Here is a 24,904-nt window from a genome sequence, read left to right on the forward strand (position 1 = left end):
GGAGGCGGGGCCAGAACCTCATTACCATACAGCTGAGGACGCGCCCCCCTCCTACCTCCGGGACCACGCCCCGCCCTCCCCCACCTCAGGGACCGCGCGTCTGGGTCTCTGGCACGCGCCAAGCCCTGGCAGGGGGCAGAAGGGAGAAGGCACGCGCTGGGCACGCCCCCCCTTAGCTAGAGAGGGAGACGCCCAACAGGTGCACAGAGAGGGCCCCGAGCCTTAGACCCTTAGCCCCTAGCCTTGCTCAGAGTGGCCACAGAGAGGTTAACGCTTCTGCTGGCTTCCCTGCTGCGCTGGGGACGCGTGGTGGGTGGGCACTCATAGGTTGGGGGCCGTTGAGACAAGGGCTCCAGAAGCTCCAGGAAGGAAAAGGAGATCGGATTTCCCTAGCGCTGGTTTTTGCATTCCGGGCTTAAGTTCTTTTTACCTGCTTTGGAACACTAGGTAACTAGCGCCTGCTGCGGATGCACAGCCTACAGGGACTGCCTAGTGTCTCCGCCCCCAAGACCATCCCCGAACCACCCACTCACCTCCTGCCCCATTACCGGGCAACCCCTCTATCCTCCGGCGGCCAGGGTCTCAGCCCTTAACCCCGCCATCACGGAGGACTGGTCACCTCGGCACGCGCAGAGCTGGGGGACCTAGAGGTTGGGAGCGGCACGGAGGGGCGGGGACCTGCGCCCGACTGGCTGACGGGGAGGGGGGAGCGGCGGGGGCGGAGGCCCCCTCCGGGCGGCGCTGGGACTGTAGCAGCTAGAGGCCGGGAGGGGAGGGGAGAATGACCATGAGTCTGAGTGACAGGCGGCGAGGAGAGGAGCCAATATATATAAGGAAGGCCCCCAGCGCGCAGGTTTCAGTAGCGGCGCTGCGCGCAGGCCGGGAACACGAGGCCAAGAGCCGCAGCCCCAGCCGCCTTGGTGCAGCGTACACCGGCACTAGCCCGCTTGCAGCCCCAGGATTAGACAGAAGACGCGTCCTCGGCGCGGTCGCCGCCCAGCCGTAGTCACCTGGATTACCTACAGCGGCAGCTGCAGCGGAGCCAGCGAGAAGGCCAAAGGGGAGCAGCGTCCCGAGAGGAGCGCCTCTTTTCAGGGACCCCGCCGGCTGGCGGACGCGCGGGAAAGCGGCGTCGCGAACAGAGCCAGATTGAGGGCCCGCGGGTGGAGAGAGCGACGCCCGAGGGGATGGCGGCAGCGTCCCGGAGCGCCTCTGGCTGGGCGCTACTGCTGCTGGTGGCACTTTGGCAGCAGGTAACACGTCCCGCGCCCTCTCCGTCCCCTCTGCCGCGCTCTGGGCCTCAGCCCCGGGCACCAGCTGAGCTGACCGGTCCCCTCCCTCCTTCCCTCGGTCCCTGTGCAATAGCGCGCGGCCGGCTCCGGCGTCTTCCAGCTGCAGCTGCAGGAGTTCATCAACGAGCGCGGCGTACTGGCCAGTGGGCGGCCTTGCGAGCCCGGCTGCCGGACTTTCTTCCGCGTCTGCCTTAAGCACTTCCAGGCGGTCGTCTCGCCCGGACCCTGCACCTTCGGGACCGTCTCCACGCCGGTATTGGGCACCAACTCCTTCGCTGTCCGGGACGACAGTAGCGGCGGGGGGCGCAACCCTCTCCAACTGCCCTTCAATTTCACCTGGCCGGTGAGCACAGCCTGGGCGCACTGGGAGGTCGCAGAAGCCGAGAGAGGAGGCGCCCTGGGACCAAAGCCCCCTCCCCAGATTTCCTTGTACACACACCCCCACCCCCAAAAAGCCCAGGATGCATTCTTTCCTGGCTCTTCCCGACTCTCTCCTGAGACTGATCCCAGAAAAGGCTCTCACCAGTCTCCGTCTTCCCAGTTTATGTCCTCCCGTCCCCAGCTCTTGGGACACGATTTTCATTACCTACCACTCTGGGGCGGTACCCTACCACCCCCTCCTCCAGTGGCTCTCCCTTACACTCTCCCGTCTCTCAACCCTCCCTCTACCGGGGGTTCTCCTCTCGCCTTCCCTGCTCAAGCGCTACACTGTGCACAGCCCCGTTATGTTGACCCGGGCGCAGTAACTGAATCCTGCAATTAGATTAATTAAACAGGCTGCCGCAAGGCACCCCCACCTCTCCCCGCTTGCTCATCTCGCCATCTCTCCGTCCCCCCACCCCCTTTCCCAGGGTACCTTCTCGCTCATCATCGAAGCTTGGCACGCGCCAGGAGACGACCTGCGGCCAGGTGAGTAGCTCGCTCCGCCACCACAGGGGGGCGACACGGCGCAGCGCCGAAAGAGTTAATCTGTTCTAGGCGGGGGAAGTGCGGGCTTGGGGGTGGGAGGCAGGACGCTTAGCTTGGCCTGGAGCTGCGCCCCGCGCTGGACGCTCGGATTCCGCTCGCTGCCTGGACTCAGAGCACAATTGCGTTTCCTGCGGGTTATTTTTGGCGTGGGAACGCGGGGAGTACGGCGGTGAGAAAGGCTGAAGCTGCCAGCGCCGCTGACGGGCCCCTTCCTGTATTTTACACCTTTCGCGAATTCCGCTCCTTTGGAAAGGGAATAATGGCTTTGGGATGTTGTTCTGACACAGAGGAAAAGGATATTTCAGCAGCACAACAATTCTCACTTTGAAAAGGAAAAAAGAAAACCATTACCCACCTCTGGAGGCAGAACCCCTGAATGGGCACCAAAGGACCCCCTGCTCCCAGGGTCCTCTCTAGCCTGGGGAGCTTTTCTTTCTTTTTCTCTTTTTTCCATTTTGACCTCTTTTCCTCTTTCCCCTCCCTATCTGCCTCCAAGACCCTGGGATATCTTAACATCCTTCTATTGTCCCCTTTTTGAATACTATCAGGCCCCCTGCACATGCACACACGTAGGGCAGCTACGTAGCGGGGCTTTGGGTCCCTCTGGCCTGTTCTTGCTGGCAGGCGGGGGTCATCTGGATAACTGGGCTGATTGGTTGGCTGATCACCATCATCACAGCCAAGAAGGACATTGGCCAGCCGTCACTGGCACCCTTGGGGACTGGCGACCCTTCCCTGACCCGACCCTCTGCCCCCTCAGAGGCCTTGCCACCAGATGCACTCATCAGCAAGATCGCCATCCAGGGCTCCCTAGCTGTGGGTCAGAACTGGTTATTGGATGAGCAAACCAGCACCCTCACAAGGCTGCGCTACTCTTACCGGGTCATCTGCAGTGACAACTACTATGGAGACAACTGCTCCCGCCTGTGCAAGAAGCGCAATGACCACTTCGGCCACTATGTGTGCCAGCCAGATGGCAACTTGTCCTGCCTGCCCGGTTGGACTGGGGAATATTGCCAACAGCGTAAGCAGTCAAGCTCCCACCTGTGTGGAAGGGGAGGGTCCCCTGAGGAAACACAGTGGAGCTTCTTGGTCACAGCTTGCCTCCCTTGAAGAGTGGGTCTGGGCCTCCTACTAGCTGGGCCTCAGGGATGCTGAGGGTGGGCTTGACCTCAGACCTCCTGTCTCTTCCCAGTGCTCCTCCCATCATGCCAAAGCCCACAAGAACCCCATCATGACATTCCATCCAGTTTGGCTTCTCCTTCCCTGTGCCATTATTTCACTTTAAGACACTCGGGGCTCCTCTGGGAGGCCAGGAGTAGGAAGAGGGCCCAGGAGAGCTAGGGGATCCCCAGGGCCAGCAGGTGAGAATGGGGCTTAAGAGTCCTTGGTATCCCAGCCTCACCCAGCTCTGTGTTCTTCCCTTAGCTATCTGTCTTTCGGGCTGTCATGAACAGAATGGCTACTGCAGCAAGCCAGCAGAGTGCCTGTGAGTAGGGGACAGGAAGTGGTGAGTGGGAGCCCTCCCTTGGCCAAGGCCTCTCACCTCACTCTGCCTCTCTCTTGTTCCCCAGCTGCCGCCCAGGCTGGCAGGGCCGGCTGTGTAACGAATGCATCCCCCACAATGGCTGTCGCCACGGCACCTGCAGCACTCCCTGGCAATGTACTTGTGATGAGGGCTGGGGAGGCCTGTTTTGTGACCAAGGTGAGTCAGGGTGAAGAGAGGGTGCAGAGGGTGCAAGAGATATGGGGCTGGGGGGTGGAAATCCGATTCGTCACCTGGATCCTTCTTACTTGGTGACTGCAGACTTGGCTTTCCCATGATCTTCCAAGGATCTTGGGTCTTTTAAGGATCTTTACAACTGGCCCAGAATGAGGCGGTGGGTCCTTCTCCAGGTGCGGCGGCAGGGGGTGGTGGAGCCAGGGTGGCTGAAAAACCCAGGGGGGTGACAAGGTCGGCAGCCTGGAGGTTGCACTCATAAATCCTAGCAAAGCCAAAGAGAGAGGGATGGCAGGCTCAGTTCCTCTTTCAACCCCGTAGTTACCTATTAACCCCCTGAGTGTTTGCTTACCTTCCAGGGCTGTTTGAGCAGCTCTCCCCTAAACAGCTGTCCGGTGGGGTGTGCCCACCGGCCACCTGAGGCTGTGGGTGAGCTGGGCCTCTGGGCGGAGTGGCATCTAACCGACTTTTCGGTGTGGGCACAAACGGCCTCCCCTGCTCTTACCTAGTTACCACCTGCCTGAACCCATGCGGTCTCTACCTGGTGTTTAGGGGTAGTCACTCTCTGGCTATACAGGGGCCTTTCAGCCCCAACCTTGGGGGAGGAGGAAGCCTTTTTTCTTGCATCCTGCTAGCCAGCTGCAGCCAGCTGCAGCTCCCATTTTCAGGATCAAATGGGTGCACCTGCTGCCCAGAGACACCGGCGCAGGCCTGGGTAGGGTGGGCAGAGAGCTTGCCAGGGTGGAAAGAAATTGCCTAGGCCCTGACTTGCTGTCAACAAGGGGCTTGGGATTCAGTCCCTGTGTTGTGTGTGTGTGTGTGTGTGTGTGTGTGTGTCTGTCCCTTTACTACCATCCCCACCCCAACACTCACACACCTGGTTCCTGCTCATTCTCTTCCCTCTCCACCATATTTGCTCCCAGGTGACACAGTCATATACTCATCATATGCAAACACAGCACTTGCAGGCCATATATTTACTCTGTCTGGTTCTCCCTCCCTGTCCTTCCCAAATAAAAAAACAAATACTTATATTTCAAAATACCCTTGTAACACCTCTTCCTTTAAAAAATGCCCGATTACTGCCTATGGTGGCTCTCATCTCTCCTCTACCATTTCTACCTGTTGAAATTTTATCCCTCCTTCCAGGCTTATCTCAGCTGCCCCTCCTCCATGAAGCCTTTTCTGACTTCCTCCCCGACATGTGGCCTTGCCCTCTGCTCTTCTTCCTTATCTTCATCCTACTTGGGTTGGCAGTTTGTGAGTTTCCCTGGCAGGACGTCTTCCAGTTCCAGTTGTGTTGTTTCACTTTTGGTTGACTGCACTGGTCATATGTGATTCAAGGTGCTTTAAGAAACATGATTTTCATCCTGGCTAACACAGTGAAACCCTGTCTGTATTAAAAATACAAAAGTTAGCCAGGTGTGGTGGCAGGCACCTGTAGCCCCAGCTGCTGGGAAGGCTGAGGCAGGAGAATGGCGAAGTAGAGCTTGCAGTGAGCCGAGGTCGTGCCACTGCACTCCAGCCTGAGTGACAGAGCAAGACTCCGTCTCAAAAAAAAAAAAAAAAAAAAAAAAAAGAAACATGATTTTAGGCTGGGTGCGATGGCCTGTAATCCCAGCACTTTGGGAGGCCGAGGTAGGTGGATCACTTGAAGTCAGGAGTTCGAGACCATCCTGGCCATCCTGGTGAAACCCCTGTAAAAATACAAATATTAATCGGGCACAGTGGCGCATGCCTGTAATCCCAGCTACTTAGAAGGTTGAGGTATGAGAATCGCTTGAACCCGGAAGGCGAAGGTTGTAGTGAGCCTATATCACATCACTGCACTCCAGCCTGGGCGACAGAGTGAGACTCTGTTAAAAAAAAAAAAAAAAGAAGGAAAGAAAGAGAAAGAGAGAGAAAGAAAGAAAGAAAGAGAAAGAAAAAAGATTTTATTGGTGGTGGAGGAAGGATGTTTGGGCCTGGGAGACTTTGAGTTGAGGTGTCTTTGAGCCAAACATGGGGGCAAACATGGACTGCAAGGAGCCTGGAGGTGAGTGCATTCCCTGGCCCTGCTCAGCTGCTTGGTTCCTGTTTCTGCAGATCTCAACTACTGCACCCACCACTCCCCATGCAAGAATGGGGCAACGTGCTCCAACAGTGGGCAGCGAAGCTACACCTGCACCTGTCGCCCAGGCTACACTGGTGTGGACTGTGAGCTGGAGCTCAGCGAGTGTGACAGCAACCCCTGTCGCAATGGAGGCAGCTGTAAGGTGAGGCCCAGACCAGCGCAGGAAGACAGAGGTGTCAGGTGGTGTCTGGGCATCCCTAACCTAGGCAGTTAGTGGATGTACAGCCATGGACAGGCATTGTGGGCAGGTGGAGCCCAGCCTTCAGTCACACATCCCTGCCCCCCAGGGTCTGACTTTGGCCCCTTTATGGTCTCTCTCCAGGACCAGGAGGATGGCTACCACTGCCTGTGTCCTCCGGGCTACTATGGCCTGCATTGTGAACACAGCACCTTGAGCTGCGCCGACTCCCCCTGCTTCAATGGGGGCTCCTGCCGGGAGCGCAACCAGGGGGCCAACTATGCTTGTGAATGTCCCCCCAACTTCACCGGCTCCAACTGCGAGAAGAAAGTGGACAGGTGCACCAGCAACCCCTGTGCCAACGGTGCGTGCTGCTGCCCTGCTAACCTGGTGGACTGGCCCTGGGGCTGAGAGAGACTTCTGGTGAGGGAGGGTCAGGAGAGGAGCGAGGCATTGTCTGCCACTCTGGCCCCCCATCTGCTCTGGAGGGCGAAGAGCTTGCTTGATCAGCTGGGGGGCTGTGGAAGCGGAGCTGGTTAGTTGCACGCAGGCCTTAGGAGCAGGGGTGGTATGCACCCTGCATAGCTTCCATTCCTATTCCCATGTCAGAACCCCGTCCTGGCTGGGGTGGCCTCTGACCCTCCCCAGGAAGTCCTGAGCTGGAGAGAGGGATGTTGGAGGCTTCATGTTTCTCCTCAAAGGAGGCAGTGATTCAGTCAGAGCCCTGCTCCTGGAGGCCTCATCTTGCCCCGTGCCCAGGTAGAGCATGAGGTAGCATGAGGCATCTTGAATGTTTGCACCTTTTGAGGCACAAAGCCTGTTGGTAATCCTTGTCTATCTGGCTCCCAGGTGACCCTCTGTGAGGCAGGCAGGCAGGCAGCGCTCAGGAGCTGGAGAGGGGTGGGAAGGGCTGAGAGGGAGTCTGCTCTCTCACTGAAGCCTCTGGCACTGCCATTTCTTCATCACTGAATGGGAAACTATAATACCTGTCCTCTGTCCTTCATGTGGTTGTGAAGATGAAGTAAAACAGTCATGATTGTACTTATCCGAGCATTAACTATATACCAAACATGGGCTCTTGCCTTCATGTACCTTCCCGGCTATCCTATGAAGGGGCTAGCATTCTACTCCAGTCTAACAAATGGGGAAACTGAGGCTTAGAGACACGGTTAAGCAGCAAGTGCCAGATCTCAGGCCACAGAGTGACAGCTGAGGTCCCAACTCAAGCCTATCTGTCTGATTCTACGTTAAAGTTCTGTAAGATGCTAGTCATTTTTATACATGAGCCCACTGAGGCCGAGAGAATCAAGGTCATGCTAAACTCCAGGTCTCCTGACTCTGTGCAGTTCTCTTTGTAGTGGGCTCTGCAGGTGGAGGTAGAAGGGCCCGAACGTGTTCCTGGAATGGGGCTCCCACCCCCTGCCCCAGGGAGCTCCCAGGCTATCACTGACTTGTGTCTCATGCGTCCTCACAGGGGGACAGTGCCTGAACCGAGGTCCAAGCCGCATGTGCCGCTGCCGTCCTGGATTCACGGGCACCTACTGTGAACTCCACGTCAGCGACTGTGCCCGTAACCCTTGCGCCCACGGTGGCACTTGCCATGACCTGGAGAATGGGCTCATGTGCACCTGCCCTGCCGGCTTCTCTGGCCGACGCTGTGAGGTGCGGACATCCATCGATGCCTGTGCCTCGAGTCCCTGCTTCAACAGGGCCACCTGCTACACCGACCTCTCCACAGACACCTTTGTGTGCAACTGCCCTTATGGCTTTGTGGGCAGCCGCTGCGAGTTCCCCGTGGGCTTGCCGCCCAGCTTCCCCTGGGTGGCCGTCTCGCTGGGTGTGGGGCTGGCAGTGCTGCTGGTACTGCTGGGCATGGTGGCAGTGGCTGTGCGGCAGCTGCGGCTTCGACGGCCGGACGACGGCAGCAGGGAAGCCATGAACAACTTGTCGGACTTCCAGAAGGACAACCTGATTCCTGCCGCCCAGCTTAAAAACACAAACCAGAAGAAGGAGCTGGAAGTGGACTGTGGCCTGGACAAGTCCAACTGTGGCAAACAGCAAAACCACACATTGGACTATAATCTGGCCCCAGGGCCCCTGGGGCGGGGGACCATGCCAGGAAAGTTTCCCCACAGTGACAAGAGCTTAGGAGAGAAGGCGCCACTGCGGTTACACAGGTGAGTGGCACCCAGAAGCCCAGGGCCTGGCCACCGGCCCCGACATGGTTCTGCCTAGGCTCCTCTTAGGCCAGGCGGGAAGCAGTTAAGCAGCTGAGGTTTTGTTACTGACAGGAAGATCCTCCAGTAGGATTTCTGTCAGGGGTCCTTTGTCCTTCCCTCCCATTCATTCATTTGTTCATTCACACATGTCAAGTGTCCCTAGGGTGTCTCTTGTGACTTCCGTCTTTCCACAGTGTGGCTTGCCTCTAGTGGCAGCACTGGCTTTATGCAGGGCTCAGACCCTTCTGGTGAGGTTGGGAGGCCTGTGACTCTCTTAGGGGCCTTTTCCTAAGTGCCCCCCTGCAGCAGCCCAGCACTGGGCACGTCCAGCCCCTGTGTCTTCCCCAAGAACCACCCTGCAGATGCCCTTTGGCTCTCCAGGGTCCTCCCTCCCCCCAAGCCTCTCCCCGTCCCTCCCTTACACGCCTGTCTTGTGTTCCCTCAGTGAAAAGCCAGAGTGTCGGATATCAGCGATATGCTCCCCCAGGGACTCCATGTACCAGTCTGTGTGTTTGATATCAGAGGAGAGGAATGAATGTGTCATTGCCACGGAGGTGAGTGCTGGGCTCGCCTTTCCTTCTGCCTTTTGTGGGAGGGAAAGTGGCCTGGTCACTCTTGACCCATGGGCCATTCCTGAAGGGTAGGTCAGAACCCTGCCTTGGCAGGCCAAGTTCAGTGGACTCTTGGGTCCCTGCTGGCCTCATTGCCACTAAGGGTGTGAAACAGGAACCATGGCGGCAAGCCTGGTCTGGTCCTTTCCTGCTGTATTGGTGCTGGGTTGGGCAGCCACGGCACTGCTGGCCAGCCTCTGATGGGTGAGGGGGCCCCTCACCCCTTGTGCCCTTCCTGCCCCTTCCCACTGGCTTCCTCCATTGACCTCATGAGCGCAAGCTCCCAGGCCCGTGTGTGTGTTGGGCCGAAGACTGGGGAGGACTGCCCCACCTGCCCTTAGCCCCTGCCTGCCCCATCGCCTTCTCCCAGGGAGGCCCAGGGAGGGCCTGGAGGGAGTGCGCATGCCCAGGGTAACCTGTTTCCCTGCCTTCCGCTTGCTCCCAGGTATAAGGCAGGAGCCTACCTGGACATCCCTGCTCAGCCCCGCGGCTGGACCTTCCTTCTGCATTGTTTACATTGCATCCTGGATGGGACGTTTTTCATATGCAACGTGCTGCTCTCAGGAGGAGGAGGGAATGGCAGGAACCGGACAGACTGTGAACTTGCCAAGAGATGCAATACCCTTCCACACCTTTGGGTGTCTGTCTGGCATCAGATTGGCAGCTGCACCAACCAGAGGAACAGAAGAGAAGAGAGATGCCACTGGGCACTGCCCTGCCAGTAGTGGCCTTCAGGGGGCTCCTTCCGGGGCTCCGGCCTGTTTTCCAGAGAGAGTGGCAGTAGCCCCATGGGGCCCGGAGCTGCTGTGGCCTCCACTGGCATCCGTGTTTCCAAAAGTGCCTTTGGCCCAGGCTCCACGGCGACAGTTGGGCCCAAATCAGAAAGGAGAGAGGGGGCCAATGAGGGCAGGGCCTCCTGTGGGCTGGAAAACCACTGGGTGCGTCTCTTGCTGGGGTTTGCCCTGGAGGTGAGGTGAGTGCTCGAGGGAGGGGAGTGCTTTCTGCCCCATGCCTCCAACTACTGTATGCAGGCCTGGCTCTCTGGTCTAGGCCCTTTGGGCAAGAATGTCCGTCTACCCGGCTTCCACCACCCTCTGGCCCTGGGCTTCTGTAAGCAGACAGGCAGAGGGCCTGCCCCTCCCACCAGCCAAGGGTGCCAGGCCTAACTGGGGCACTCAGGGCAGTGTGTTGGAAATTCCACTGAGGGGGAAATCAGGTGCTGCGGCCGCCTGGGCCCTTTCCTCCCTCAAGCCCATCTCCACAACCTCGAGCCTGGGCTCTGGTCCACTACTGCCCCAGACCACCCTCAAAGCTGGTCTTCAGAAATCAATAATATGAGTTTTTATTTTGTTTTTTTTTTTTTTTTTGTAGTTTATTTTGGAGTCTAGTATTTCAATAATTTAAGAATCAGAAGCACTGACCTTTCTACATTTTATAACATTATTTTGTATATAATGTGTATTTATAATATGAAACAGATGTGTACAGGAGTTTATTACTTATTGGGTCCTGTCTTTGTGATGGTACCCCTGCCCTCTCACCCAAAAAACTCTAAACTCCCTTCTACTGCTGCCATGTGCCCCGCCGGAACCCCTGGGACCCGTGCAGACACTTGGATTTGGCATGTCGTACCCCAGGCCCTTGTCTTCTTCCATTCGTTGAGGAGCCGAGCCTCACCCATCTAGTCCCCAGCCTCAGCCAGCCTTCCTTGCCTGCTGACTTTGAGTTGGTACAGTGCCCCCTTCCCTCTTTATGCCCTCACCATTCCTGGGGCATGTTCCTCCTGACCTGAATCACTTCTTCCTTCCTCTCTTCAAGCCTGAAAAAGCTTATGGGGCTCCCTAGTTCTGCCTGTTTTTCTCATATTCAAAAGGATTCTCTTGGCCGGGAGCGGTGGCTCACGCCTATAATCCCAGCACTTTGGGAGGTCAAGGCGGGCAGATCACGAGGTCAAGAGATCGAGACCATCCTGGCTAATAGGGTGAAACCCCGTCTCTACTAAAAATACAAAAAATTAGCCCAGTGTGGTGGCGGGTGCCTGTAGTCCCAGCTACTCGGGAGGCTGAGGCAGGAGAATGGCATGAACCCAGGAGGTGGAGCTTGCAGTGAGCCAAGATAGCGCAACTGCACTCCAGCCTGGGCGACAGAGCGAGACTCCATCTCAAAAAAAAAAAAAAAAAAAAAAGCATTCTCTCGTCGGTGGATGGGATAGGGCCTCTGCACCCTGGTGACATCTGAGTCCTTCCTCCTGCTGTTGCAGGGTGCCTGGCTCTTTTCTTAGCCCCAGCAGGGTACAGGTCTCAGGAGACAGGGCAGGAGGGAGGTTTGCCTTGTTTTTCCTCTTTGTAGCAGACAAGAGCGCTGAGAGTCTGAGCACCTTGTCTGCCCAGGGCTGCTAGAATTTATTGAAGACTGCAAAGACAGGGAGAAAGGGGAGGAGGAGGTAGCCTTCCCTGAGTCCAGGTTTCTCTTGCTGAGGCACTAATGAGGGGGTTTCCAGTCTCACTAGGAGTTTCATGCCTAGCTTCCTCTAAGGCACAGGATAGTCCCTAGGGTGCCACAGCCCTCTCTATAGCCGAAAATATGCTCCTCCATGGAGAGCAAATTATGAAAAAATGAGCCACTGACAAAAAGCTGAGCAGATGCTCCCAGCTCTCAGCCTGTCCACAGTAAAGCAAAATAGACCCATTAGATGCCCTGCTCCTAATGGAGTCCAAGGGTTTGGAGTGCTACTTGCCCTCCCTTTTTTCCTCTCTCCTTGACACAGACACACCATGCCCACCCCAGACCTGGGTGCTTATGCCAGAGACACAGGAGCACGCACACGCTCCACGCCTCACTCATCGCTCCCTGTTCCCTTCACTGTACACACAGGGTATCAAACAGGAAAGCATTCAGGGAACCGTTCCCACAGCCTGAGCCGGCAGCAGGGGGAAGAACAACACGACCTCACTCTTCCTGCCCAAAATGAAACAGGAAAGCAGCTCCCAGGCCCTAGGGGTGTACGGGAGGGGGGAACTGGGCTGGGACACGAAGGCAAGATGACGAGGCTCCCATGTGGGGGACAGGTAGGACACCCGCAGCCCTGCACGTCCACAACACCAGGCTGTGACGGGCTGCACAGGCTGCCAGACTCGCAGAGAAGAGCCCCGGAGAGGAGTTGGCTGGCAAAGCTCACAGCTGCTCTGATGCACTAGATGGGGAGCTGGAGAGCCCACCAAAAAAGCTGGCTTTCTGGGGAAAGTGGGGACCCGTGGGGAACTTGGTCTGGGCAGCTCCGACCTGCAGCTCATGCCAGGCTCCACCTTTAACAACATCCCACAAGCTGGGCAGGCACTTGGGGTGTAAACAGGCCACAGCGGAGGAAGCCCCTTCTCCCCAGGATTTCCTGAGAGTCCAGCCCCTTCTGATAGGTAAGGCACCCAAGACCCTCATGATCACTTGAGTGTCCTGGGGTACAGGAGATTTCCTAGGCTTGGCAGAAAGGAGGCCAGATAATGGTTCTAGACTCACTGTGAGGTGCCTTCCACAGGTTAGCAAATGCCCACCTTTAATTTGCATGGGTATTTCACCAGGGAATTCGGAGTTTAGTAGTTCCTTAACAGCCTGGAGCCAGTGCCCTGCCTGGAGAATCAATTTGACCCCACGGTGACCTGAGGACAGCTGCTTTTCCAGGGCCCCTCGGCTGGTAGAGTCAGGGAGGGGTTGTGCAGAAGGAGAAATGACTTTATCCTGCTTGCTCAGCCAGGGTTCCTCTCCTGCCTCAGGGCCAGGGTCAGCCTGGTCAGGGGGTAGGGAAAAAAGGACAGTGGCTCCCACCTCCCCCATCCCAGGCTAGAAAAGGCCACCAGACTAAACCACGGTGGTGTGGATGCTCCATCTCTTGACTGGGACCCACAGAGCTCTCCGTAGCTTCCCTCGCCGCAGCTCTCCCAGCCTCTCCCTCTGGATCCACAGGATCAGCGGCCCCAGCCCTCCGCCCCACGTGGCTTGCTGCATTCCGGGAAGGGGGTGGAAATGATTCACTGGGGGAACTGTGACTGTCCCTTCCTCGGGCGGGGATGCGCCTGCGAGGTCCCAGCGGCCTTCCCTGGGCGGCTGCGCCCTCCCTCGCGCCCAGGGCGCCCCGAGGCCTGCGCGGCGGCGGAAGGGGCAGGTGCGCCTGCCCGCCCGGGTCAGCCCTCCACCTGCCGCCGCCGTGCCCCGCAGCTCCCGCGGCTCCCCGCCCCCCGCGCTCTTTGTTACAGCCCGACTTCCTGTTTGCGGCAGCCGACCCGGCTCACTTCCCGGGCCGGGAAGCCGCCGAAGGCCGCGAGCTTCTCGGAGGCTCCCCCGCCCGCTCGGCTCCGCCTCCTGCCTCCCCAATCTCGCTCCGGCCGCGGCCGCGGGAAGCGGAGCCGCGGGCGGGCAGGCGGGCTGGACCGCGCGGGCCCCGCTGCCCGGCACTAGAGGGCGCTGCGCGGCCGTCGGGGCTGCGCGCGGGAGGGGCCGCCGACCCCGGGAGGCTCTCTGGGGCCGCCCTTTCTCCGTTCGGGGCCGATGGGACGAAGGCGGCAGGGGGCGGCCAGACGCCCGAGCTCCCTCCGGGCTCCGAGCCCCTAAGCCGAGCGGGCAAAATGGGGAGAACCCAGTGCGGGGCTTTCCCCCAAATATCCTCCCAGTGTCCTGGGGAACAGGCCCTTTCCCCTGCCCCCGCCGTCGCAGCAGCCAGTCCCCCTCGCCACCCAACAGGCCTCCGGCCATCCTGGTCCAGAGACATCCTCAAGGGAAGAGAATGGGGTCGAGGAGGGCCGGACACCGGTGTGAGTTATGGGGCTGGAGCTCCCTTCCAGCGCCACCCCTCATTGCCGGGTGCTCTGGGACAAGTCCATCTACTTCATTCCTTCAACACTGATTAGCATTGGAGGCAGGACTTGCTGTCTGCCCAGGGCCGCTAACTATCTAGCTGCTTATCCTTAACCTCCCTGCTAACTATCTAGCTGCTTATCCTTAACCTCTCTGCGGGTAATGCCTGTTAGGCGTTGCTAGGGGGGTTGAAATGAGGATGTATGGAAGCGTTTGTGAGCAGTGTTGTAACCTCTGCTGGTGGGTTAATCCTCCTCACGCATCTCTAAGTGAGCCACTTTCTGGAGCTCCCACTGCTCCGGCCCGCATCAGCGGGGTGGGACCTAGGGAGGTTGGGGTCTAGCAGGATAGTCCCAGTGTTAGCAGCATCCAGTCCGTGGGGGTCTGCGGCAACCTCAGTTCTTGCCTCCTGAGAAGAAAGAGTTCCACCAAGGGGCATAAGGCAGAAGGAGAGACTGGGGCAATTTTTAGAGCAGGAGTGAAAGTTTATTACAACGTATTAGAGCAGGAACAAAAGGAAGTAAAGTACACTTGGAAGAGGGTCAAGTGGGCGACTTGAGAGATTCAAGTGCGCGTTTGAACTCTGATTTGGGGTTTTCTATGTTGGCGTGCATCCCCCCTCCCTGGTTCTTCCCTGAGGATGGGCGGTCCGCATGCCTGAGGCCTGCCAGCTCTTGGGAGGGGTCGCGTGTGCAGTGTGCTTACTGGAGTTGTGCACATGCTCACCTGAGGCATTTTTCCCTCAATACTCGAGCATTCCTAGAGGAAGGTCAGATACCACTTGAGCTCCGCCATTTTGCCTCCTAGTGTAATCGCTTGAGCCCACTTGCCCACCTCCTGAGATCTTGTCGGGAAGCTGCTGATCAGTTTCAGGTGTTCCTCTCTATTCAGAGACTGCCTTTCCCCGGTGCGGGCTGCAACAATTGTTATTTTAGAGAGACAGGGTAACAACCACCTGACCATCACCTGACGGTTGCCTGAGATTCCTGATGGGGGTCGAGGGCCCTCTCCTTTGCTGCTTATGCCTGTCTACTACCTACTGTTACACCAGCAGTAGCCCTAGGACCAAGCAAGGCAGCTGAGATCACAGGTTTCCGTCACCATCACTTCCATGTGCTCCTGCCTTCCAGGAGCATCACTAATCTACGTCAACCTCCTCTGATGTAGGCAGAGGTAGAAGGGAGGCCCTTGCTGTGGGAAGGGGCAGCAGGACCCCCAAGTCCTTAAGAGTCACCTTCCCTTTGGAGATCTGCCACAAGTGACTTTTTACCACCTTTCTCTGGTCTCTGGGGCATGGTACCCCTTAACACTCTGGTCAAGAGTGGGCTCAGCTTATTTCCTTCATCCCCAAAGTTTCTCTGAGGCCAGGACGCAGGGCCCAAGAAGCCAAGTGAGTCTACAGCCAGACCCTCATGATGGTAACCAGCATCACAGGAATCCGGATTTAGCAACAGGTCGGCTCTGGCGCAGAAGTGCCCCGTGTCATGGCACCCCCTGCAGGGTAGAGCCACAGCCCTGCCAGGCATGGCTAGCCTGTCTGTCTCTAGTGACCCCTCCTCCTGGTGAGGCTTGGGGTTTTGCACACCGGCACTGGCCATTTGACTTGTTGGAGGATTGCTGTCCTTTTCCCACAGTGGCAGGTGTTGGGGCAAGGCTCATGGTACTAAGCCCAGTCTGTTCCGTTTCATTCCTATACCAGCAACTGCCATCCTCAGCGCTTCCTCTTCTGTCTCTCTGGTAGAGGAGATCTGAAAGGCCCTGGACATTCTCCATTCTATTAGCAGTGGGCCCTAGGGAAGAAGGGATCCCAGTTGCTCTCATTCATTTAAAGGGCTTCACTGCCTTGGCTCCCTGTGGGCCGCAGAATCTACACCACCACCCAGGCCCCTTGTGAGCACCTTGACTTCTCCACAATGTAGGTTTTCTGAGGCTTCTCTTCTAGAGCCAGGTCCCACTACACCACAGCATTTCCATGAGATCTGAGGCTCACCCCAACCCTGTGGATCTCCTCTCTTTACAGCCCTGTCGCCCCACTGAAATGCTCCCCACTACAGCTTCTCCTCAGCCCTGCAATGGGTTGCTTCCTGTCCCCACAAATTGTACTTTTCTGTCTCCTTGGAATTGGGAGCACCACCCACCAGTCCTCTGTTGGAACCCCAGCTTCTTTCCTTCCAGGTAGACGAGGACTGAGCTCTGGATAACTGGAATACCGGCCACCCCAGAGGTGCCTGGTCAGCCGGACCTCTCCACCTCCTTGGAGGCTAGAAAATGGGCAGAAAGCCAGGTTTTTCCGCCATCCCAGGCACCCTTTTGCTAGGATATGAGTGAATCTTTACAGTCCCTGCTTTCGTGGACCAATGGCCAAGCAGCCTTCCCCACTTGGCCCTGGGTTTGGCTGGTACGCCCTGCAGAACAGCTGCCTGGGACTGTCTCTCCCTCTTCTGAGGAGGACTGTATGCAGGGATCCACTACTCCATCTGCCCCTCCTTTGGCCAGAATGTCGGTGGGACCTAGGTCCTCTTCGCACAAGACCTGAAGACCTGCAGACACACTTACCTCTCAGAGGTCCGTGGGAGGTATGGTTCCTCATAGATGGTGGATTATTTACTAATTTATTTATTTTAGCACCTTCACCCTATGCATACACAGAAAATCTCTCTTGGCTCAAGCAACTGTTTGTTCTGTCAATAGGATGTTTGTTCTGCTAATAGTGTGCTTGGGTAAGACCATTACCCATTCTGTCTCTTAGAAACATGCCTTGGCTGGGCACGATGGCTCACACCTATAATCCCAGCACTTTGGGAGGCCAAGGCAGGTGGATCGCTTGAGGCCAGGAGTTCAAGACCAGCCTGGGCAACATGGGGAGACCCCATCTCTATAAAAATACAAAACAATTAGCCGGGTGTTGTGGGATGCACCTGTAGTCCCAGCTAATCAGTAGGCTGAGGTGAGAGGATTGCTTGAGCCTGGGAGACAGAGGCTGCAGTGAGCTGAGATTGTGCCATTGCACTCCAGCCTGGGTGACAGAGCTAGATCCTGTCTCAAAAACAAACAAAAACAATTAACTGGGCATGGTGGTGCATACCTGCAGGTCTCAGCCACTTGGGAGGCTGAAGTGAGAGGATCGCTTGAACCCAGGAGATCAAGGCTGCAGTAAGCCATGATCGTGCCACTACACTCCTGCCTGGGGGACAGAGTGAGACCCTGTGTCAAACAAACAAAAAACACAGCCGGATGCAGTGGCTCACACCTGTAATCCCATCACTTTGGAAGGCCAAGGTGGACGGATCACTTGAGCGCAGAAGTTTGAGACCAGCCTGGGAAACATGACAAAACCCAGTCTCTAACAACAACAACAAAAATTAGCTGGATGGTGGCACGTGCCTGTAGTCCCAGCTACTCAGGAGGCTGAGATGGGAGAATCACTTGAGCCCGGGAGGTTGAGGCTGCAGTGAGCCGAGATTGAGACACTTCAGTTGCCTGGATGACAGAGCAAGACCCTGTCTCAAAACACTCCACATTTCTTTGGCACCCTACTTGCTAGAACAATCTGTGAATTGCATGGCGAGGATGGAGAGTGAGATAGCTGGAGATTTCCTCTACTGATCCTAAAATGCTTACCTTGATCACTCCCTCCTGACTTTGTTCTGAGCTATTTCAGAATGAGAGGTTCACTTATGGCTCTGCCTTGAATGAAACGGAAAGTGAAATTGTCTGAAGTAAAGAGAATAAGAAGTCAACATTTGCTGAGTGTTCCTATGTGACGGGTACTGCCTACGGTATTATTTCTTTCAATCTTTTTCAGACCCTGCAAGGTCAATTCTATTACCTATTCCCTCTTTACAGTTGAGAAAACCAAGAACTAAAGACACCGTGCCTAGGGTCACTCAGCTGGTACGTGGTGGAGCTGAGCTCAAATCTGAGCAAGGTGAACTTAGAGGCAATGTCTGGGAAGGCTTTTCTTTTCTTCTTTTTTTTTATGATCACAGAGAGACCACATTTTTAAAATTGACAACTGAATCTCTACGTACGTACAGTTTTGCCCAAATTATAAGTGGCTCAACAATTATATTAATGATGCAAACTCTTGAATGTTTACATAAAACTGCTGCTTTAGGTTTTGGTGCATTTTTTTTTCCTCTGGTTTTTTTTTTTTTTTTTTTTTTGAGATTGAGTCTCGCTCTCTCACCCAGGCTGGAGTGCAATGGCACGATCTTGGCTCACTGCAACCTCTGCCTCCCAGGTTCAAGTGATTCTCCTGCCTCAGCCTCCTGAGTAGCTAGCTGGGATTACAGGCATGTGCAACCATGCCCAGCTAATTTTTGTGTTTTTAGTAGAGATGGGATTTCAACATCTTGGCCAGGCTGGTCTTGAACTCCTAACCTCAGGTGATCCGCCTGCCTCGGCCTCCCAAAGTGCTGAGATTACAGGTGTGAGCCACCATACCCGGCAGTTTTGGTGCATTTTTGTGCCAGCTACTTTAGTAGGTAAAACAAAAATAATGGAACTCAGCTACTTGATTTCCATGAGAACCAGCTTTCAAAAAAAGCACGCAGAAAGTGTATGCATAGTAGCGTTTTAAGAAAAGATCCCCATGTTCTCCTTCACAATTAGGACCACATTCCAAAAGCATAATTCTAGGTTGCTACAATGTCTTCTCTGCTACAAACCATTGTTTCAAAGGTTAAAGAAACAAGAAAGTAACTCACATAAAAGGGTTTTAAAATATTTTTCCTATTCAAAATAAAATAAAAATATATGATCTCCATAAAATTTTATTTATGTGTATATATACATATGTATATGTGTGTGTACATATATATATATATATACACACACACACACACACACATATATGTATATATTATTTATTTATTTATTTTGGGATGGAGTCTCACTCTGTTGCCCAGGCTGGAGTACAGTAGAGTGATCTCAGCTCATTGCAACCTCCACCACCATGCCTGGCTAATTTTTGTTTTTTGTATTTTTTAGTAGAGACAGGGTTTCACCATGTTGGCCAGGCTGGTCTCAAACTCCTGGCCTCAAGTGATCCACCCAGAGTGCTGGGATGACAGGCGTGAGCCACCGCACCCAGCTGATCTCCATAAAACTGTAAAGAAATTATATCAAAATGTTGACCAGACAAGCCAGACCATTTGCCTTCACTGATTGCCTTGGAGGGCAGAGCACATGTGTCATCTACAAGGAAGGGGAGTTGGGGGTAGAGTTCCTGCTCTCCCCGAGCCTGTGGAGTGGGAGCGGACAGGAGCCCTTTGCCTTCCCTGGGGTTTTGCTTCCTTGTGTACAGAATTGAGAGAGGTGGCCTAGATGGCTTTTAAGAGACCCCTCAACTAAAAGTCAGCTTGAGATCCCATCTTTGAGCAGACATATAGGGTGGCAAAAGAAATGGATTAAAAAAGAGATGGATGAAGTCTTTCTCACCTTTTGATACCATCACTCAGAACTATTCTGTACTATAGTTCAAAGAAATCTTTGCCCGGTACTATTAAAGGGTATGCAGTGAGGCATCTGACAATGAAATTTTTGATAAAAAAGAAAAAACAACAACAAAAAGAAAGTTTTGATAAAAATGTAAACAGATTGTGTTAAGTTTGGGTGGAAAAACAAGGCACCACCATGTTACTACCAGCAGTCAGGACGTCCTGTCACTGAATTGTAGGAGTCCCCAATCTGGTTGGGAGAAATGTCGAGGGAGATGCACGTTCAGGCCATCCAACAGAGACCTAATGAGTGCACACTGCTCAGGACATGGAGAAACAGGGGCCCAGGAAGACAACTTTAATGAAACTGGTTCTAAAACAAAGGATGCAAGAGAGTTAAATGGTCCAAAGAGAGTGATGGCTTCTCATTTTCTGTCCCTTACAGAGACTACAAATATCATTTCTTCTGGAATCTAGCACATTTCCAAAATGCATCACTTATATTTTCCTCACAAGGCAGGCACACATTAAGCACGTGACAATCATATGATTTATTTGTGAGCCCCAGGGCTTCCAGGAGCTTTCCCAGAGCTTATGGTCAGAGGCGTCCTGAGATGTCAAATAGTAAAGCTTTCTCCACGGCCACATGTTCCTTTGATGTTTGGGTTATTGAACACAAACTCACTGGATAGTTTGTCTTCAGCATGGTCTTTCTGTTCCTAAAAGTGTTAGTTGTGCTTTCTTTTCGATGAACACTCTGACTCCATCTTGAATGACTTCTTCATCGAAATCTCCCTTGTCTTCGTTTATTCTAGACTATAAGAAAGGTCATTACAGGCCCTGGTTCGGACACCAACTTTTACACCTAATACTCAGGCTTATCTTGAAGAAGTTATTTTATCTTGTTTACTGCTGAAGGTGTCAGGCTGCGGGTGGCCCTCGTGGGCTGTAGCTTCCTCTTGCTCACAGTCCGGACAGTCCTCCGGACTAAGGAAGCCGACCTCTTTGTCGTCTGGTCCAGGTGCTTCAGGCCGGAGCTCGGCTGCCTCAGCCTCTTTCTTTGGACACAGCAGGCCCATTGATGCCACAAGCTCCGGCACACAGCGCACTCAGGCCTCTGGGAAGGTTTTTCATCCTTCAGAAATCAGCAGCTTTATAAGGCAACTTCATCCTTTAGCATATGAATTAGCATCATTCCCTAGCTCCTACAACAGCCTTCCACTGTTTCAGATAAACATGCTGACTAACACCAGGAGGTGATGCCAATCTCTGGTAAGAGAAGAGAGAAGGAACAGATCCTCAGGAGATGAGAGGTAGCCACCTGGAGGGGAACAACAAGGAAACGTTAATTTGGGAAAGATCTAAAAAAGGAAACCACCACGTGCACATCACGTGCACATCATGTGCGACTCTGCAAGGTGGAGGTGATGCCTGGGCCCATCGCTGCTCATAAACTGGCACCTCTGTGGGTATGACATCGGCGGCCCCTTCCTGTGGGGCGTTAGAAGGAAAGACGGGAAGGGTTTGCCGTTGAAGTTACAGAGAGGAACCAGCTAAGTGAGTGGTTTGCTGCCTGGGAGTGTCCTGCTGGGAGGAAAAGAGACAGATGTTGTTGGCAAGAATAAGCAAGGAATGGGAACAGGAAAGACATGTTCCCAGGGAGACATTGCAGATCCCCTGGGCCAGCTTCTGTGGAGATTCCTATTTTGAGGGTCAAGGTTGAACTTGTGTTACACAGGACATGGGATATAGCCCTGGCCTTTTCCAAGCAATAGCCTCACTTATTCTACCTATATTTGTGGAGGATCTTCCACATGCCTGGCTTGTGTTGGTTCTCTTGGGCCTTCAACCATGAACCATACTCTGGGGAAGTGCTCAGGTGAGTGAGAGGCAGGACGCAAACGATTCCCAGCAAGGAGGCTCTGGAGCTGGCCCAGCTGCCTTCAGATCCAGGCTCCACTACTTTCTGCCACGTCACCAACAGGGTTTACCTAGCTTTCCTGCATGCTTATCTGTGAAATGATATTTACCTCACAAAGTAGTGAAGAAATGTGTAATTAGAATGGATGATGTAAAGGCGTTTAGCAAATTGCCTGGCACATGTTATACACATAATAAATGAGTGTTTCTGTTGTAAGCACGAGTTGGAAGGGACAGATAAGTAAACTGCAGTGGCGTAAAGTGTTGTGGGAGTGTAGAGGAGGGAGTGTCTGACTCTGCCAGGAGCAAGATCAGGTTATTGAGGACATTGCCAAAAGAGTTATGAAACACTGGGACTTTGGTCAGGGTGGGAGGAGGTCTGAGAACGGGCATCATGAAAATGTTCCCTAAATGTTTCAGGTATGCTATCCATCCCTCCCCCTCCAGAAAACCACTAATGACTCTTTAAAAGTAACTTTTTTTTTTTTTTTTAGACAGGATCTTGCTCTGTTGCCCAGGTTAGAGAGCAGTGGCACAATCATGGCTCACTACAGCCTCGACCTCCTGGGCTCAAGCAACCCTCCTGCCTCGGTCTCCTGAGTAGCTGGGACTACAGGTGCATGTTGCTAAGCCCGGCTAATTTTTAAAAATTTTTTTGTAGAGATGAGGTTTCATTATGTTTCCCAGGCTGGTCTCAAACTCCTGAGCTCAAGTGATCCTCCTGCTTGGCCTCCCAAAGTGCTGAGATTACAGGTGTGAACCACCACGCCCAGCAAAAATTAACTTATTATTATTTAAAAATTACTTTTCATAAAACTTGGAAAATAGAGGAAAGAATTGCTCACAATCCCAACACACTAGTATTTGCTGCCTCCCTATCTTTATTGTTACTGTTTTTAAGTTTTAATCATAGTTCATGTGAAAATTTATATTTTGCATTTTTGCCTTAATATGCAATCATACACATGTTTACTACGTTTTTTTTGTTTGTTTTGTTTGTTTGTTTCCCGAGACAAACTCGTGCTCTGTTGCCCAGGCTGGACTGCAGTGGTGGGATCTTGGCTCACTGCAACCTCTGCCTCCTGGGTTGAAGTAATTCTCCTGCCTCAGCCTCCCGAGTAACTGGGATTTCAGGCACCTGCCACCATGCCCGGCTAATTTTTTTTGTATTTTTAGAAGAGACGGGGTTTCACCATGTTGCCCAGGCTGGTCTCGAACTCCTGAGCTCAGGCAGTCTGCCCACCTTGGCCTCCCATAGTGCTAAGACTACTGGCGTGAGCCACTGCACCCGGCCCAACATACATATTGTTTCTAATGTCTGCACAAATTTAATGGACTATATCATATTTATGTAACTAATTATCTATTGCTGGGTATTTAGGTTGTTTTCTTTGTGTTTGTGTGTGTGTGTATGTGCACATTTTTCTGTCATGTGAATGGTAAATTGACATAATTTCCTTAAACATTTAGCTAATTTTGGATATTTAAGTAGTTTTTCTTCTTTTGTTTTTGCTATAATATGTAAAGGTCGGGCGTGGTGGCTCACGCCTGTAATCTCAGCACTTTGGGAGGCCAAGGTGGGCGGATCACAAAATCAGGAGTTTGAGATCAGCCTGGCCAATATGGCGAAACCTCGTGTCTACTAAAAATACAAAAATTATCCAGGCGTGGTGGCAGGTGCCTGTAGTCCCAGCTACTCGGGAGGCTCAGGCAGGAGAATCGCTTGAACCTGGGAGGCGGAGGTTGCAGTGAGCCGAGATTGTGCCACTGCACTCCAGCCTGGGCAACAGAGAGAGACTCCACCTCAAAAAAAAAAAAAAAAAAAAAAAAAAAAAAAAAAAGTAACAATGCATTGAAAATCTTCAGGCATATGGCTTTTCCCGTATTTTGAATAATTTCCTGAAGGAGTATTGGGTCAAAGGGCAGGGATATTTTGTGATTCTTGACTTGTATCACCAAGCTGCTTTCTCAAAGGGTTGTTTGTGCCAATTCAGATACTTCAGCAATATGTGGATACCAGTTTCCCACTTCCCGGACTACAACCCACAGCTGGTGAGTGGAAAAGAGGACATTCTTCTAAGAAGCTACCAACAAAGGAGGTGCTCATATGAACGAAAGGGGACAGGATAGAAGAGAAGAGGGAGACTGAATGTGGGAAATGGAGAGAAAGCGAAAAAGAAAGGAATAACCAGAAAGGACCATTTGCTGGTAATTTTTTTTTTTTCCTGATTGGAAAAGTAATTCATGCTCCCTGTAAAAATCCAGACTTTTTCATTACTGTTTAAGTTTGATACTGAAAGTCCTCCTCTGGTGCCAGCCTCTGCTAACTGTTTAGGTATATTCTTCCAGATTATTTATTACACGAATACTTTTTGTTTTTAAAGAAATAGCTTTGTACTATACACACTGTTGTGCAAGTTTCCCACTTATATCTGCGACACCTTCGGAATGAATATGTGAAGTGTGAAGATCACGTTTAGTTTAAATATTGAATTAGAATCGAATGAGAAGCCATGTTGCACATTGCCCCTGCCAGCCATCTCCTGGCCAGTTTAGAGAGAAGGCCTTCAGCTGCCTCTGTTTCCCTTTTACAGTCAGTGACATCCCCTGAGGGCAGTCCCTTGCTGCGTATTGGGTCAACCCCCGGCGGCCTGTGGACTCGGCTGGGAGGCCAGAAGCCGAGGGAGAAGACCAGTAGCTGGCCATAGTCTTGTGGGGGCCTCACTGGGCCCTCCTTGCCCGCTGCTCCCGGAACCTTGTGCCTATGGATTAATCATTGCTGCAAAATCTCACGTCCAGGAAGAATTAAACCCATCGCCTTGGGGGCAAGACTAGCCTGGCTTTTGCATCTTTATAGCCTTTCTCCGCAGGTGCAGCCACCACCTCCAAAGTGACTGCCGGTCGGTCCAAGCGCTCTAACAGGCTCTTCCCCGAGCCTACCTGGGCTCGAGGGGTCCCACACCTGGTCCGGGGCGTAGCCCATGTGAGGCCTGCAAGCTCCGGGCGCCTGGCCTACCTAACTCAGCCCCGCAGTCTCTGCAGAACCCCCTGCAGCCCCGTGGCCCAGTTTCTCCATTTGCTCACAATGGCCAACGGCGTGAGGCACTTGAGCGGAATGCGGACGGTGCCTCCGACAGCTTTCCCGCAGTGCATGATCTCAGGAGGGGCCCCAGAGACGGAAGTTTACGACGCCCAGAGCGCTCCTTCTGGACGTGCCCTGGACTCGACTTGGGACTGAGTCTGTGCCGCCTAGGCTGGCAGGGACTCGGCCAGATGCACTAGCGGCAAGGCTGGGCTGACACCGCCTGGGACTCGCTCGCCGTACCTCCAAGGGGCCCAGGTCATGAGGGGGCGGCTGGGGAGACGCCCGCCCGGTGCCCGCCCTGGGCCCGGCGGGTGCCCCCTGCCCGCCGCCTGACGCAATCCGAGGCGCCCTTGCTGCATGCCGGCGCTGGAGAAACCTCCCCTGCCGTTGCATCACTCCTGCCAGGTTTGCCACAGAGGTGGAGCTGAACCAATCAGCGGGCGCGCTGGGCCCGCGGCGCGGTTAAGTGAGAAGCAGAATCCGAAGTTGATTGGCCAAAAGGGGATTTGCC

At 54.0% G+C, this 24,904-nt stretch overlaps 1 protein-coding gene and 1 pseudogene across 1 annotated transcript, besides 7 other annotated features; one reads left to right on the forward strand and one right to left on the reverse strand.

The window, feature by feature from the left end:
• Positions 1 to 70: a silencer, noted in NCBI's record as "silent region_6351". NCBI's record gives its function as "represses an Ori minimal core promoter by ATAC-STARR-seq in GM12878 lymphoblastoid cells {active_cell/tissue: GM12878}" and the evidence as "EXISTENCE:reporter gene assay evidence [ECO:0000049][PMID:35858748]".
• Positions 664 to 753: a silencer, noted in NCBI's record as "silent region_6352". NCBI's record gives its function as "represses an Ori minimal core promoter by ATAC-STARR-seq in GM12878 lymphoblastoid cells {active_cell/tissue: GM12878}" and the evidence as "EXISTENCE:reporter gene assay evidence [ECO:0000049][PMID:35858748]".
• DLL4 (delta like canonical Notch ligand 4) lies at positions 859 to 10,592 on the forward strand. Its single transcript, NM_019074.4, has 11 exons — positions 859 to 1,253; positions 1,366 to 1,635; positions 2,144 to 2,201; positions 3,022 to 3,285; positions 3,690 to 3,750; positions 3,836 to 3,966; positions 6,067 to 6,236; positions 6,417 to 6,636; positions 7,747 to 8,449; positions 8,937 to 9,045; positions 9,548 to 10,592. Exons 1-11 carry the CDS (start codon positions 1,188 to 1,190, stop codon positions 9,551 to 9,553), a joined length of 2,058 nt encoding a protein of 685 aa, NP_061947.1. The 5' UTR covers positions 859 to 1,187; the 3' UTR covers positions 9,554 to 10,592.
• Positions 9,720 to 10,536: an enhancer, noted in NCBI's record as "H3K4me1 hESC enhancer chr15:41230399-41231215 (GRCh37/hg19 assembly coordinates)". NCBI's record gives its function as "activates a minimal SCP1, AML or CMV promoter by ChIP-STARR-seq in naive and primed H9 embryonic stem cells {active_cell/tissue: H9 hESC(naive and primed)}" and the evidence as "EXISTENCE:reporter gene assay evidence [ECO:0000049][PMID:30033119]".
• Positions 11,819 to 11,878: an enhancer, noted in NCBI's record as "active region_9272". NCBI's record gives its function as "activates an Ori minimal core promoter by ATAC-STARR-seq in GM12878 lymphoblastoid cells {active_cell/tissue: GM12878}" and the evidence as "EXISTENCE:reporter gene assay evidence [ECO:0000049][PMID:35858748]".
• Positions 13,169 to 13,748: a silencer, noted in NCBI's record as "silent region_6353". NCBI's record gives its function as "represses an Ori minimal core promoter by ATAC-STARR-seq in GM12878 lymphoblastoid cells {active_cell/tissue: GM12878}" and the evidence as "EXISTENCE:reporter gene assay evidence [ECO:0000049][PMID:35858748]".
• Positions 19,819 to 20,468, reverse strand: ISCA1P4 (iron-sulfur cluster assembly 1 pseudogene 4; annotated as a pseudogene).
• Positions 24,199 to 24,792: an enhancer, noted in NCBI's record as "NANOG-H3K27ac-H3K4me1 hESC enhancer chr15:41244878-41245471 (GRCh37/hg19 assembly coordinates)". NCBI's record gives its function as "activates a minimal SCP1, AML or CMV promoter by ChIP-STARR-seq in primed H9 embryonic stem cells {active_cell/tissue: H9 hESC(primed)}" and the evidence as "EXISTENCE:reporter gene assay evidence [ECO:0000049][PMID:30033119]".
• Positions 24,464 to 24,723: a silencer, noted in NCBI's record as "silent region_6354". NCBI's record gives its function as "represses an Ori minimal core promoter by ATAC-STARR-seq in GM12878 lymphoblastoid cells {active_cell/tissue: GM12878}" and the evidence as "EXISTENCE:reporter gene assay evidence [ECO:0000049][PMID:35858748]".

This window comes from Homo sapiens, chromosome 15 (assembly GCF_000001405.40).
Source record: "Homo sapiens chromosome 15, GRCh38.p14 Primary Assembly".
Lineage (NCBI taxonomy): Eukaryota > Metazoa > Chordata > Mammalia > Primates > Hominidae > Homo > Homo sapiens.